This window comes from Homo sapiens, chromosome 17, assembly GCF_000001405.40.
Source record: "Homo sapiens chromosome 17, GRCh38.p14 Primary Assembly".
In the NCBI taxonomy this organism is placed as follows: Eukaryota; Metazoa; Chordata; class Mammalia; order Primates; family Hominidae; genus Homo; species Homo sapiens.
In genome coordinates, this window is record NC_000017.11 from 59,236,381 (window position 1) to 59,250,492 (window position 14,112).

Consider the following 14,112-nt stretch of genomic DNA (forward strand, 5'->3'; position numbering starts at 1 on the left):
GCCTTCTGTATCATGTGGAAGCTTTCTATTACTTAAAAAAAATTTTTTGGAGATTTTTCTAGTACTTCAGAAGAAGGGAACACCTCTTTCACATGCTATTTTTGTTGTTGTTGTTGTTGTTGTTTGTTTGTTTGAGACAGAGTCTTGCTCTGTCACCCAGGCTGGAGTGCAATGGCGGGATCTCAGCTCACGGCAATCTCCACCTCCCAGGTTCAAATGATTTCTCTGCCTCAGCTTCCCGAATACCTGGGATTAGAGGTGCCCGCCACCTCTCTCGGCTAGTTTTTAGTTTTATCTATTTATTTTTTTAATAGAGACAAGGTTTTGCTATGCTGGCGAGGCTGATCTCGAACTACGGACCTCAAGTGATCTGCTCACTTTGGCCTCCCAAAGTGCTGGGATTACAGGCGTGAGCCACCGCACCCAACCTTTCATATGCTATTGTTAATGTTTGTTAGATGTATTTATTTGTAAGGCTGCTTATCAACTGACCTAGAAATTTATATAAAACCCCTCTTTTTTTGAGTTTTTCGTTGTTAGTGGTGGTGGTTTGTGTATGTGTGTTACACATTAGTGCCCTTGCTATGAATACATACTTTTTAAAATTGTAGTTCAAAAAATTACAAATATTCTACTGTTAACTGCTAGGAAACTTAGAAGGTTTTTTTTTGTTTTGTTTTGTTTTCATACTTGTTTCATTGAATAACAAGAAAAGACTGTTTAAACATACTATTTTGGCCAGTCGCAGTAGCTCACACCTGTAATCCCAGCACTTTGGGAGGCCAAGGCTGGTAGGTCACTGGAGCTCACAAGTTCAAGACCAGCCTGGGCAGCAGGGTGAAACCCCATCTCTAGAAAATGCACAAAAAAAATTAACCGGGCGTGGTGGTGCAAGCTGTAGTCACAGCTACTCTGGAGGCTGAGGTTGGAGGATGGCTTGAGCCTGGAAGGTAAAGGTTACAGTGAGCCGAGATGGCACCACTGTACTCCAGCCTGAGTGACAGAGCCAGACCTTGTCTCAAAATAAATAAATAAATAAAAATAAATAAACATACTGTTTTAAAGGTACTGTATATTAAAATACTAAAGAGTTGTAATGTACAATCAGGAGAAGATACATACTATGCTTAAGTATGGTATATTCTTGATAGCATGGGTAGTTGAGGGAGAGATAGTAAAAATAAAATGACCAGCTAAAACTTAGATCTTATTTATGTACATATTTAAATACACATTTCACAAAGCATATAAATTTCAAAATGGAGGTGAAGATGAGGAGATATTAATGACAATATAAATAGTTGGTGTGGGAAGCCTGATTAAAATTAACCAGAAAATCAAAAGGTATTAAGACTAGAAGGGCTGTCATTTGAAGACAAGAAGGAGCTATTTTGAAAATGTAGGGTCAGCTGGGTGCAGTGGCTCACACCTGTAATCCCAGCACTTTGTGGGGCCAAGGCAGGCGGATCACTTGAGATGAGGAGTTCGAGACCAGCTTGGCGAACATGGCAAAGCCCCATCTCTACTAAAAATTTAAAAATTAGCTGGGCACAGCCTGGGCAACAGAGCAAGACTCCGTCTTAAAAAAAAAAAAAAAAAAAAAAAAGGCCGGGCATGGTGGCTCATGCCTGTAATCCCAGCACTTTGGGAGGCCGAGGCGGGTGGATCACCTGAGGTCGGGAGTTTGAGACCAGACTGACCAACACGGAGAAACCCCATCTCTACTAAAAAGACAAAATTAGCTGGGCATGGTAGCGCATGCCTGTAATCCCAGCTACTTGGGAGGCTGAGGCAGGAGAATCACTTGAACCCAGGAGGCGGAGGTTGCAGTGAGCCAAGATTGTGCCATTGCACTCCAGCCTGGGCAACAAGAGTGAAACTCCATCTCAAAAAAAAAAAAAAAAAAGAAGTAATTAAAACTGACAGAAGTAATTATGTCTCACAATGTATGAAATATCCTTTAATGTGGTTTATAACATGCTTTCACAAACACCATCTCCCTTAGGTTATGAATATGGCTCTTCTATTATTTTTTATTTTTTTTTTTTTCCGAGACGGAGTCTCACTCTGTTGCCCAGGCTGGAGTGCAGTGGCAAGATCTCGGCTCACTGCAACCTCTGCCTCCCAGGTTCAAGCGATTCTCCTGCCTCAGCCTCCCGAGTAGCTGGGACTACAGGCGCATGCCAGCATGCCCAGCTAATTTTTTGTACTTGTAGTAGAGACAGGGTTTCACCATGTTAGCCAGGATGGCCCCGATCTCCTGACCTTGTGATCCACCTGCCTTAGCCTCCCAAAGTGCTAGGATTACAGGTGTGAGCCACCGCACCCAGCCTTGTGTTATTTCATTAGGAGCAGGAATCTTTTCTTACTGATTTCAAAATTCTTAATGCCTAACTCAGGCTCTGACATAAATAGACACTCACTAGTTGCTTACTGAATGAAATATGGAATGGGACATTCAGGAATAAAGCAGAACATTAGCAAAAGACTGATGAAGGAGACAGAGCCTCCTTCATAGTAAAGCACAGAAGCAAAAACTAAGGAATTGTACTATACACATATACACAGAGCCACTAAACCCTTGAGTATGTAAGATGTGGTTCTCAAGGGCTAATAAAACTAGGTTATTAAACCAGGCTGCCTTAGGAAATACCCGTAGGACAATGTGATACCTATAGTATTAGCCGGAATGGTAAGGAGAAAGAAGCAAATTGTATTAGCAATAGCTAGAAGTGTAAGTTGGCAGACAGCCAGAGTAATTAATCAGTGACCTGGTTCTCATGATAAATATTTTAGAATATCTAATTAATATGACTATCTATGAAATGGGAATAGTGATACAACCTCAGTGTTGTGAAGAGTAAATGAGATTCAAATAAATTCTTTAACATGGTGCCTATTTTAAGTTGTTATGCATTGTTTCTGTGGAGTTTCTTTCACATTTTCTTTTAGAGCTAGAGTTTTTATTTCTTTTTCTGGAAATGTTGAAACCTTGGCATCTCCAACTTCTTTTTTGTATTTTTTTTTGTATTTGTCAACAGCTTGTCAGAAATTCAGCTATAAAATATCTGATATTTCAATGGAAGTAGGTGCATGTTGTTATTCATGGAAATTTTTGAAGGCAAAAGTGATAAAAAAATTTTTCTCACTGTGTTCTAGCTATTTACATATCAAATTTGGGATAATTTTACTAGAATAATTTACAAGTTGTCCTAGATACACTTATTATTGTTCTAATTTTTTTATCTATTAGTTTGTCAATAACAATAAGCATACATAGAAAATATTTTTCAAATAATTCCTAAACATTTCTAAAAATAGCCAGCATTTCAGCTAGAGACAAACTTCAAACTTAGAAAGATTTCTGAGGTAATATGTATAGTTTTTTTTTTTTTTAATTGCCAGCATAGGACACACTGTTTTTTTTTTTTTAACCTCCCCCTCTCCAGCTCAAGCGATCCTCACACTTCAGCCTCCCTAGTAGCTGGGACTACAGGGCATGCCTCCATGCCCGGCTAATTTTTCATATTTTTTTTAGAGACGGGGTTTTGTAGAATGATTCACCCACCTCGGCCTCCCAAAATGCTGAGATTATAGGCCGGAGCAACTGCACCTTTAATTTTACACTTTGGCTGGGTGCAGTGCCTCATGCCTGTAATCCCAGCACTTTGGGAGGCCGAGGCGGGCAGATCAGGAGGGCAGGAGTTCGAGACCAGCCTGTCCAATGTGGTGAAACCCTGTCTCTACTAAAAAATACAAAAATTAGTTGGCGTGGTGATGCGCGCTTGTAGTTCCAGCTACTCAGAAGGCTGAGGCAGGAGTATCGCTTGAACCTGGAGAGCGGAAGTTGCAGTGAGCCGAGATCATGCCACTGCACTCCAGCCTGGGTGACAGAGTGAGACTCTGTCTCAAAAAAAAAAATAAGAAGTTTAAAAATGTTAAATAGAAAAAAACTTACATAATAAGGATATAAAGAAAGAAAATATATTTGTACAGCTGTAAAATGTTTGTGTTTTAAGGTATTATTACGAAAGAGTCAAGTTTTTTAAAATTTAAAAGTTTATAAAGAAGTTACAGTAAGCTAAATAGGTATTTTTTAAATTTTATTATATTTTTAAGAGACAGGGTCTCACTTTGTCTCTTAGGCTGGAGTACAGTGGCATGATCATAGATGAACTCCTGGGCTCAAGCGATCCTCCTGCCTCAGCATCCCAAGTCACTAGAACTACAGGGATGTGCCACTATACCTCCCTAATTTTTAAATTTTTTTCGTAAAGATGAGATCTCTCCATGTTGCCCAGGCTTGTCTCCAACTCCTGACCTCAAGCAATCCTCCTGGCTCGGCCTCCCAAAGTGTTGGGATTACAGGCATGAGCCACCGTGCCAGGTCTATTTTTAAAATAAATTTCATGTTGCCTAAGTATACAGTGTTTATAAGGTCTACAGTACTGTATAGTAATGTCCTATGCCTTCCATTCACTCACCACTCACTCAGTGACACCAAAAGCAACTTCCAGTCCTGCAAGCTCCATTCATGATAAGTGCCCTAATGCAGGTGTCCCATTTTTATCTTTTATATCATATTTTAATTGTACCCTTTCTGTGTTTAGACAGATTCACAAGTACTTAACACTGTGTTACATTTGCCTGTAGTATTTAGTACAGTAATGTGCTGTACAGATTTGTAACCACGGAACAATAGGCTATACTCTATAACATAGATGTTTAAATACCATCTAGATTTGTGTAAGTGCACTCTGTGATGTCCGCACAATGACAAAATTGACCATACATTTCTCAGAACATACGCCCATTGTTAAGTGGTGCATGACTTTATAATATTTTTATATTATGTGTTGTAAGAATACAGGAGTATACATTTACCCCACATAGGTGATTCACAGATAAAATAAGAATCATGTGAGCTAGTGTATTTATTTATTTATTTATTTTTGAGACGGAGTTTCGCTTTTGTCGCCCAAGCTGGAGTGCAATGGTGCGATCTTGGCTCACTGCAATCTCTGCCTCCCGGGTTCAAGCAATTCTCCTGCCTCAGCCTCCCGAGTAGCTGAGATTACAGGCATGCGACACTATGCCTGGCTAATTATTTGTATTTTTAGTAGAAACGGGGTTTCATCATGTTAGCCAGGGTGGTCTTGAACTCCTGACCTCAGGTGATCTGCCGCCTTGGCCTCCCAAAGTGCTGGGATTACAGGCATGAGCCATCGTGCCCAGCCTCTGAGCATCCTTTTAAATACACTAGCTGAGCTGGGTGCCGTGGCTCATGGCTGTAATCCCAGCACTTTGGGAGGCCGAGGCGGGTGGATCACTTGAGTTCAGGAGTTCGAGACCACTCTGGCCACATGGTGAAACCTCATCTCTACTAAAAATGCAAAAATTAGCTGGGCGTGGTGGCAGGTGCTTGTAATCCCAGCTACGCAGGAGGCTGAGACAGAAGAATCGCTTGAACCTGGGAGGCAGAGGTTGCAGTGAGCCGAGATTGTGCCACTCCTCTTTAGCCTGGGCAACAAGAGCAAAACTCCGTCTGAAAAAATAAAAATAAAAGGATGCTCAGTGTTTATTAGATTAAATTCCTGCTGTAATTTACTATGATGAGGTTGAATAAATTGATGTCAATAATATTGTCTTGTAGATAAGAGATAATATATTCTGGGTTTTTTTGTTTGTTTGTTTGTTTTTGAGACAGAGTCTTGCTCTGTCACCCAGGCTGGAGTGCAGTGGCATAATCTTGGCTCACTGCAACCTCCACTTCCTGGGTTCACGAGATTCTTCTGCCTCAGCCTTCCGAGTAGCTGGGATTACAGGCTTGTGCCACCACATTCAGCTAATTTTTGTATTTTTAGTAGAGACAGGGTTTTCCCATGTTGGCCAGGCTGGCCTTGAACTACTGACCTCAGTTGATTCGCCTGCCTTGGCCTCCCAAAGTGCTGGAATTACAGGTGTGAGCCACCATTCCTGGCTAAGAGATATATTCTTAATGGCAGTATATTTGTTTTTCCATTATAAAAGTTTATATTCTAAAAATTCAAACAACTCAAATAATCTATGTGAAGTAAAAAATTGGCCTGCTCACTTTCCTACTCCCATTCCTACTCATCTCACTTATAAGAGGTAACTCCTGTTATGATTTGGCCTTATATCTTTCTATTATTTTAAAAATTTACACACAAACTTTTTTTACATAAACTTTATTTTACATCAATAAAATCATATGATTGATGCAGATAGTTTTTGCTCCTAGTTCAGCTAAAACCAGGTTCTTGTCACATGACCAGGAAAGATTAGGCACACAGACACATTCAAAGGTGACGAGAGCAGGAATTTATTAAAAGAAAGCTCTCAGCAAAAAAAGAAGTCCTGCTAACAGGCTCCCACCTCATAGACTGATCACCAGGCCACCACACATGAGCTGAAGAGGCCAGGCCCCTCACCCCTGCACAAGGGATGAATTCCCATGGCTCCACCCCCTCCTTGCAGTGCACATGTGGGCATTATTCAGAAAGAATCTGTCCAGAGGCTGGGCATGGTGGTTCACACCTGTGATCCCAGCACTTTGGGAAGCAGATCACCTGAGGTCAGGAGTTTGAGACCAGCTTGGGCAACATGGTGAAACCCCATCTCTACTCAAAATACAAACATTAGCCAGGTGTGGTGGCGGGTACCTGTAATCTCAGCTACTCGGGAAGCTGAGGTGTGGGAATTGCTTGAACCTGGAAGGCAGAGGTTGCATTGACCCAAGATCACGCCACTGCACTTCAGCCTGGGTGACAGAGTGAGACTCTGTCTAAAAGAAAAAAAAAATTATTCAGGAAAAGGTGGGCAGGCTGGGTGCAGTGGCTCACGCCTGTAATCCCAGCATTTTGGGAGGCCGAAGAGGGTGGATCACCTGAGGTCAGGAGTTTGAGACCAGCCTGGCCAATATGGTAAAACTCTGTCTTTACCAAAAATACAAAAATTAGGTGGGCATGGTGGGGCACCTGTAATCCCAGCTACTTGAGAGGTTGAGGCAGGAGAATTGCTTGAACCTGGGAGGTGGAGGTTGCGGTGAGCTGAGACTGTGCCGTTGCATTCCAGCCTGGGCAACAAGAACGAAACTCAGTACCCCCCAACCAAAAAAAAAAAAAAAGTGAGCGAACTGGGGCAGTTCTCCCTCTGGGTTGCAGTTTTATCCTGGACCAACAGTTCAGTCTTTCAGCCATCAGGCTGTTTTAGGCTTGAAGGTGGGGTTCCACCAGGGATCCTTGGCTGTCTCCTATCTCCATCATCGTACCTATTTTAAAATTCAGATATACCCCAACAATGCTATTCCATGTGAATTCTATATTCTTTGAATGACTACACATTACATACTATGGATTTGGATCATGATTGATAAACACTTAGGTGCCAACTGAGTTGGAATTAATTAAAATTTAAAATATTAATAGATGTTGATAATGAAAACATGGCTCCATTCCCCTCATTTAGAAATATATTTAGTACCTACAATGTGCCCAACACCATAAACATTAGAAAATATGGAACAGACATAGGCCCTTCTGTTAGTGGCGGTGAATCCATAGAGGTCTGCAGCAACCTCAATTCTTGCCTCCTCAGAAGAAAAAAATTGACCGAGGGCTTAAGGCAGAAGGAGAGACCAAGGCAAGTTTTACCACAAGAGTGAAAGGTTATTAAAAAGCTTTAGAGCAGGAATGAAAAGAAGTAAAGTACATTTGGAAGAGGGCCAAGTGGTGACTTGAGAGATCAAGTGCCCAGTTTGACCTTTGACTTAGGGTTTTATATGTTGGGATACTCCGGGGTCTTGCGTCCCTTCTCCCTTGATTCTTCCCTTGGGATGGGCTGTCTGCATGCACAGTAGCCTGCCGCTACTTGGGAGGGGCCACATGTGCAGTGTGTTTACTGGAGTTGTACTCATGCTCTCTTGAGGCATTCTTCCCTTACCAGTCGAATGCTCCTAGAAGAGCATTTTGTATTTTAGTAGAGACAAGGTTTCACCATGTTGGCCAGGATAGTTTCAATCTCCTGACCTTGTGATCTACCCGCCTTGGCCTCCCAAAGTGCTGGGATTAGACGCCTGAGCCACCACACCTGGCCAATTTTTTTGTATTTTTAGTAGAGATGGGGTTTCACCTTGTCGGCCAGGCTAGTCTCAAACTCCTGACCTCAGGTGATCTGCCTGCTTTTGCCTCCCATAGTGCTGGGATTACAGGTGTGAGCTACCGTGCCTGTCTAATTTGGATGCTTTTGTTAATTTTTTTCTTGCCTAATTGCTAGAGCTTTCAATACTATGTTAAATCAAAGTAATAAAAGTGGCCAGGTGCAGTGGCTCATGCTTTTAAAACCTTGCACTTTGGGAGGCTGAGGCAGGAGGATCACATGAGCCCAGGAGTTCAAGACCAGCCTGAACAACATAACAAGACCCTATCTCTACTAAAAATAAAAAAATTAGCTGGGCACAGTGGCATCCATCTGTAGTTCCAGCTACTCAGTAGGCTGAGGCAGGAGGATCACTTGAGCCCAGGAGTTTGAGGATGCAATGAGCCATGATCATGCCATTGCACTCCAGCCTGGGCAACAGAGCAAGACTCTGTCTCAAAAAAATAAAATAAATAAAAATAAAAACAAGCATCCTTGTCTTGTTATTTAATCCTTTCATTTTATAGAAGTGAAAATGTAGTCCCTGAGAGAAGAATTTACTTGCCCAAAGTTATGCAAATTCACAGCAAAGCAGGAATTAATATCAAATCTCTTAACTTCAGATTCAGTATTCTGTCTATTATATTCAGTTGAAGAATTAAGGATAACTGGATATGGAAAGGAGGCAACATGATTCTTTTATTCTCAGTTCATTTAGAATATTTTCATATTAATAAGTCATACTAAGTGATGGTATTAAGGAGATATTTTAGTATTATGGGATTTTGGATTTGTAACTCTGAATTGTTAGATCTCATGCATGTAACCCAAATGTATACTTAAGTGTCAGATGTCATTCTTCTTTTATTTCTTCAGTGCGGTTAAAATCGGAACTGATATGCTAGAATTGGACTGCCATATCACAAAAGATGAACAAGTTGTAGTGTCACATGATGAGAATCTAAAGAGAGCAACTGGGGTCAATGTAAACATCTCTGATCTCAAATACTGTGTAAGTAAAAATGCATGATAAACTAATATCTAATAGATGTCGCGGCCTATAAGATTTTTTTTAAAATAGCGAATATCAGCAAAAAATTTCTAATATTATTTAAATACTGATTAAATACTAAACATCAAAGGAAATTTTAAAAAACTACTTTGAGGCCAACTGTACTGGCTCATGCCTATAACTGCAGCACTTTGGGAGGCTGAGATGGGAGGATTGTTTGAGGCCAGGAGTTTGAGATCAGGCTAGGCGACATAGCAAGACTCCATCTTCATTAAAATATAGGAAAATTGGCTGGGCACAGTGGCTCACACCTGTAAGCCCAGCACTTTGGGAGGCCGAGGCGGGTGGATCACCTGAGGTCAGGAGTTCGAGACCAGCCTGGCCAACATGGTGAAACCCCATCTCTACTAAAAAATACAAAAATTAGCCAGACATGGTGGTGCCCCTGTAATCCCAGCTACTTGGGAGGCTGAGGCAGGAGAATCACTTGAATCTGGGAGGTGGAGGTTGCAGTGAGCCAAGATTGCGCCACTGCACTGCAGCCTGGGCAAGAGTGAGACTCTGTCTCAAAAAAAAAAAAGATTATTATAACGTATATATTCATTATAGTAAATACTCATGAACGGAAGGAAAAATCATGCATAATGTTACTGCCAAAAAAACACTTATGTTAACAGGATTCTACCTTATGTAGAAGGATTCTACCTTTTATGTTTTTTAGATTTGTATTCTCACTGTGCATCATGTATATTGAATTTTAGACACTTTAAAATTATAACATGATAATGGCCGGCCTCGGTGGCTCACACCTGTAATCTCAGTACTTTGGGAGGCTGAGGCAGGCAGATCACCAGAGGTCAGGAGTTCGAGACTAGCCTGGCCAACATGGCAAAACTCCGTCTCTACTAAAAATACAAAAATTAGCCGGGCAGACAGATCACCTGAGGTCAGGAGTTCGGGACCGCCCTGGCCAACATGGTGAAACCCCATCTCTACTAAAAATAGAAAAATTAGCCGGGCATGTTGGCATGCGCCTGTAATCCCAGCTATTCAGGAGGCTGAGGCAGGAGAATCGCTTGAACCCAGGAGGCGTAGGTTGCAGTGACCCGAGATCGTGCCATTGCATTCCAGGCTGGTTGAAAAGAGCGAGACTCCATCTCAAAAAAAAAAAAAAAAAAAAAAAGAAACATTATAAGAAAAAAAGAAAAAAAAGAGCAAGGAAACATAAGAGATAAACATTTTTCCACACTTTCCATCGCCCAGGCTGGAGTGCAGTGGCATGATCTCGGCTCACTGCAACCTCTGCCTCCCAGGTTCAAGCTAGTCTCCTGCTTCAGCCTCCTGAGTAGCTGGGATTACAGACATGCACCACCATGCCTGGCTAATTTTTGTATTTTTAGTAGAGACGGGGTTTCACCATGTTGGCCAGGCTGGTCTTGAACTCCTGACCTCAGTTGATCCTCCTGCCTTGGCCTCCCAAAGTGCTGGGATTACAGGTGTGAGCCACCACGCCCAGCCTTTTCCATGCTTTAAAGAAAATAGACTTTATTTTTTAGAGACGTCTGGGTTTACAGCAAAATTGAGTGGAAAATACAGAGTTCCCACATACCAGCACAGTTACCGCACAGACACAGAGTCCCCCACTTTTAACATCTGCACCAGATTGGTACATATATTGACACAATATTAATGCTCATAGTCCATAGTTTACATTAGGGTTCACTCTTGTACATTCTGTGGTTTTGGACAAATTTATAATGACATGTATCCACAATTATACTATTACACAAAATGGTTCCACTGCTCTAAACATTCTGTGTTCTGCCTATTCAGTCCCCCCTTCCCTCATCCCCTGCCAACCGCTGATGTTTTTGCTGTTTCCATAGTTTTGTCTTTTCCAGAATGTCATATAGTTGGAATCATACTGTATTTGGCCTTTCAGATTCCATACTCATCTTTCATAAACATTTCAAATGACTATAGTTATTCTCCTGTGTGGATATATAGTTATTTTTAACCATTCTTCGATTGATGGACATTGGATTAGTTCTAAGTTTTCACCATTGTAGATAACACTGCACTGAATTTTTTTTTTTTGAGACAGAGTTTCACTCTCGTCACCCAGGCTGGAGTGCAATGGCGCAATCTTGGCTCACTGCAACCTCCGCCTCCCGGGTTCAAGAAATTCTCCTGCCTCAGCCCCCCCAAATAGCTGGGATTACAGGCATGCGCCACCACACCTGGCTAATTTTTCGTATTTAGTAGAGACAGGGTTTCACCATGTTGGTCAGGCTGGTCTCGAACTCCTGGCCTCAGGTGATATGCCTGCCTCAGCCTCCCAAAGTGCTGGGATTATAGGGGTGAGCCACTGCACCCAGCCTGCACTGAACAGCTTTATGCATAAAGATAAAGCTTTCTCTATCTTTAGCTTTTTATATAGTTATTTATAAAGATATATAAATATTTGTATTTATAAAAGTTATTTATATAACGTTTTCTCTATTCTAAGATTATTTCTCTAAATATACTCCCAGAAGGGAAATTATTGGGTAAAAGAACATTTGCCAGCTGGGTGCGGTAGCTCATGCCTATAGTCCCAGTGCTTTTGGAGGCTGAGGCTTGCCAAAAGAAGGCCTCCCAAAAGGATGGATCCTTCTGAGGATCCACTGAGCTCAGACGATCAAGGCTACAGTGAGGTGTAATTGTGCTACTGCACTCCGGCCCAGGCAATAGAGTGATACCCTGTCTCAAATATAAAATAAAATAAAATAAAATAAAATAATATTTACTAGTATTGAGCATTATAATTATACCAAAATTTGCTAATTAAATTTTAATTAACATTTCATTAATTATTAATTAGTTTAAAGATCTATTAATTGTTAGTTATTTTTCTTTGGTTTTCATTGAATTGTGTCAATGAAAAATGTATTCCTGACATTTTTCTACTGAAATCTTTGTATATTATTGTGAAAAGGTCTATATTAAATAGTACAGATATATTTTTTGTAGATGGCATAAGTAAGTAATATGGTTAATTTGCTGTTGGGGATGTTCTGCTAAGGGTGCCTAGTAAAGTGTTTTAGTCTTCTGTATGTTAAAGAAGCATATCTTTGTGTCTTAATGTAACACATAAAAATCTTATTATTTTTTGAGAGTTAACTTTTTTTTCAATCATATCTTTTTAAAGGAGCTCCCACCTTACCTTGGCAAACTGGATGTCTCATTTCAAAGAGGTAATATTTTTTGTTTGTGGCTTAAACATTTGTGTTGAGAAGCATATGTGTGTTTTCTTGTCATAGTAAGTTCTTACTAAAAGTAACTGACCTCTAAGTTTGTTCCCTCAGGCCTACAAATCTGAATACTTGAAAATTATCTGACGTGAAATTATCAGGTCCAAAGAGTTAAGTGATTCATTCTGCTTAAATTCATGTACAGTTAACTTAAACCTGAACACTGATTGCAAGAAACATTTCACTTCTAAAGCTTCAAATTCTAGAATATTGCCGCAACTTATATTAGTCATCCATCAAAAAATATAATAAAAAATAAATGAAAAGGGCTGGGCACAGTGGCTCACGACTGTAATCCCAGCACTTTGGGAGGCTGAGGCGGGCAGATCACTTTAGGTCAGGAGTTCGAGACCAGCCTAGCCAACATGGCAAAACCCCGTCTCTACTAAAAATACAAAAAATATTAGCTAGGCATGGTAATGCGCACCTGTAATCCCAGCTCCATGGGAGGCTGAGGCAGGAGAATGGCTTGAACCTGGGAGGCGGAGGTTGCAGTGAGCTGAGATTGCGCCATTGCACTCCAGCCTGGGCAACAAGAGCGAAACTCTGTCTCAAAAAAATATATATAATGAAAATAAAGTAAATAAATAAATAAATAAATGAAAAGAAATGGAAAGGACCCCTTTCAAATCCTTTCTGGTTCCATAATATTTAGTTCTGTCTTTTAGCTGCTCCATATTTTAAATGATTAAACAGACTTCTGTCATTCAAATAAAACATTTCCTAGTCATCTTCAGTTAGCTGTTTTCTTCTGAGGGAACATTTCTCACAAAGAAACATGTCCCTTGACCCAACTTGTTAGTTACTTCAGATGTTAGAATGGAAAATATACCACCTTAAGGTATGTGCTGAACATATATAGGCTCCCTCATTGTCACAAGTCAGCCTCACATTTTTGAATGATTCAAATGTATAACTCAATAAAACCAAAAGATGTTACATATCATGAATCTTGGTATGATTTGTATATAGTTGAAACCTTGGTTAAATGTCAGCTCCATTTATATTAATTTTTTAAAAGAACTATAACTGCTCCGTGAACTAGATTTTAAATTGGCCAAGCCAGGTGTGGTGACGTACACCTCTAGTCCCAGCTACTTGGGAGACTGAGTTGGGAGGCTCATTTGAGCCCAAGAGTTGGAGTCTAGCTTGGGCTACATAGCAAGACCCTGTCTCTTAAAAAAAAAAAAATTGACCACTGATAGGGGAATTTTTGAAAATGAAATAAAAATCAGAAAAAATTTAACATTAGCTATTTCTAAGGGATATTTAAACCTCAGATGTGTTTGATTTCAATTTCCAGGTAAGTTGAAGTTGTTGGTTTGAGGAAACTTTTCTTCATTCTTGTAACTTATACGATTATACTTGCCAAACTATTGTAATATTTGTGTCAATTTTGGACTTGTGAAAGTTAAGAAAATTTCAGAAATGAAGTTTTTCCTATTTTTCACTTTGTAGAGCAAAGCCAAAGAAAGCCCCATAAAAATTTAAAAATCCAGCAGATGTGGTGGCTCACACCTATAATCTCAGCACTTTGAGAGGCCAAGGCGGGAGGGTTGCTTGAGACCAACAGGTTGAAACCAGCCTGGGCAACATAGCAAGACCCCGTCTCTAAAAAAAATATTAGCCAGTCATGGTGGAATATGCCTA

At 40.5% G+C, this 14,112-nt stretch overlaps 1 protein-coding gene across 3 annotated transcripts in view; it reads left to right on the forward strand.

The window, feature by feature from the left end:
• The window catches only part of GDPD1 (glycerophosphodiester phosphodiesterase domain containing 1), a 55,460-nt gene that overhangs the window by 15,870 nt on the left and 25,478 nt on the right, over positions 1-14,112 (forward strand). For all 3 annotated transcript variants that reach the window (NM_182569.4, NM_001165993.2, NM_001165994.2), the window contains exons 3-4: positions 9,034-9,169; positions 12,360-12,405. In NM_182569.4, the coding sequence (NP_872375.2) occupies positions 9,034-9,169; positions 12,360-12,405 (182 nt within the window). The remainder of the gene's footprint in view (positions 1-9,033; positions 9,170-12,359; positions 12,406-14,112) is intronic.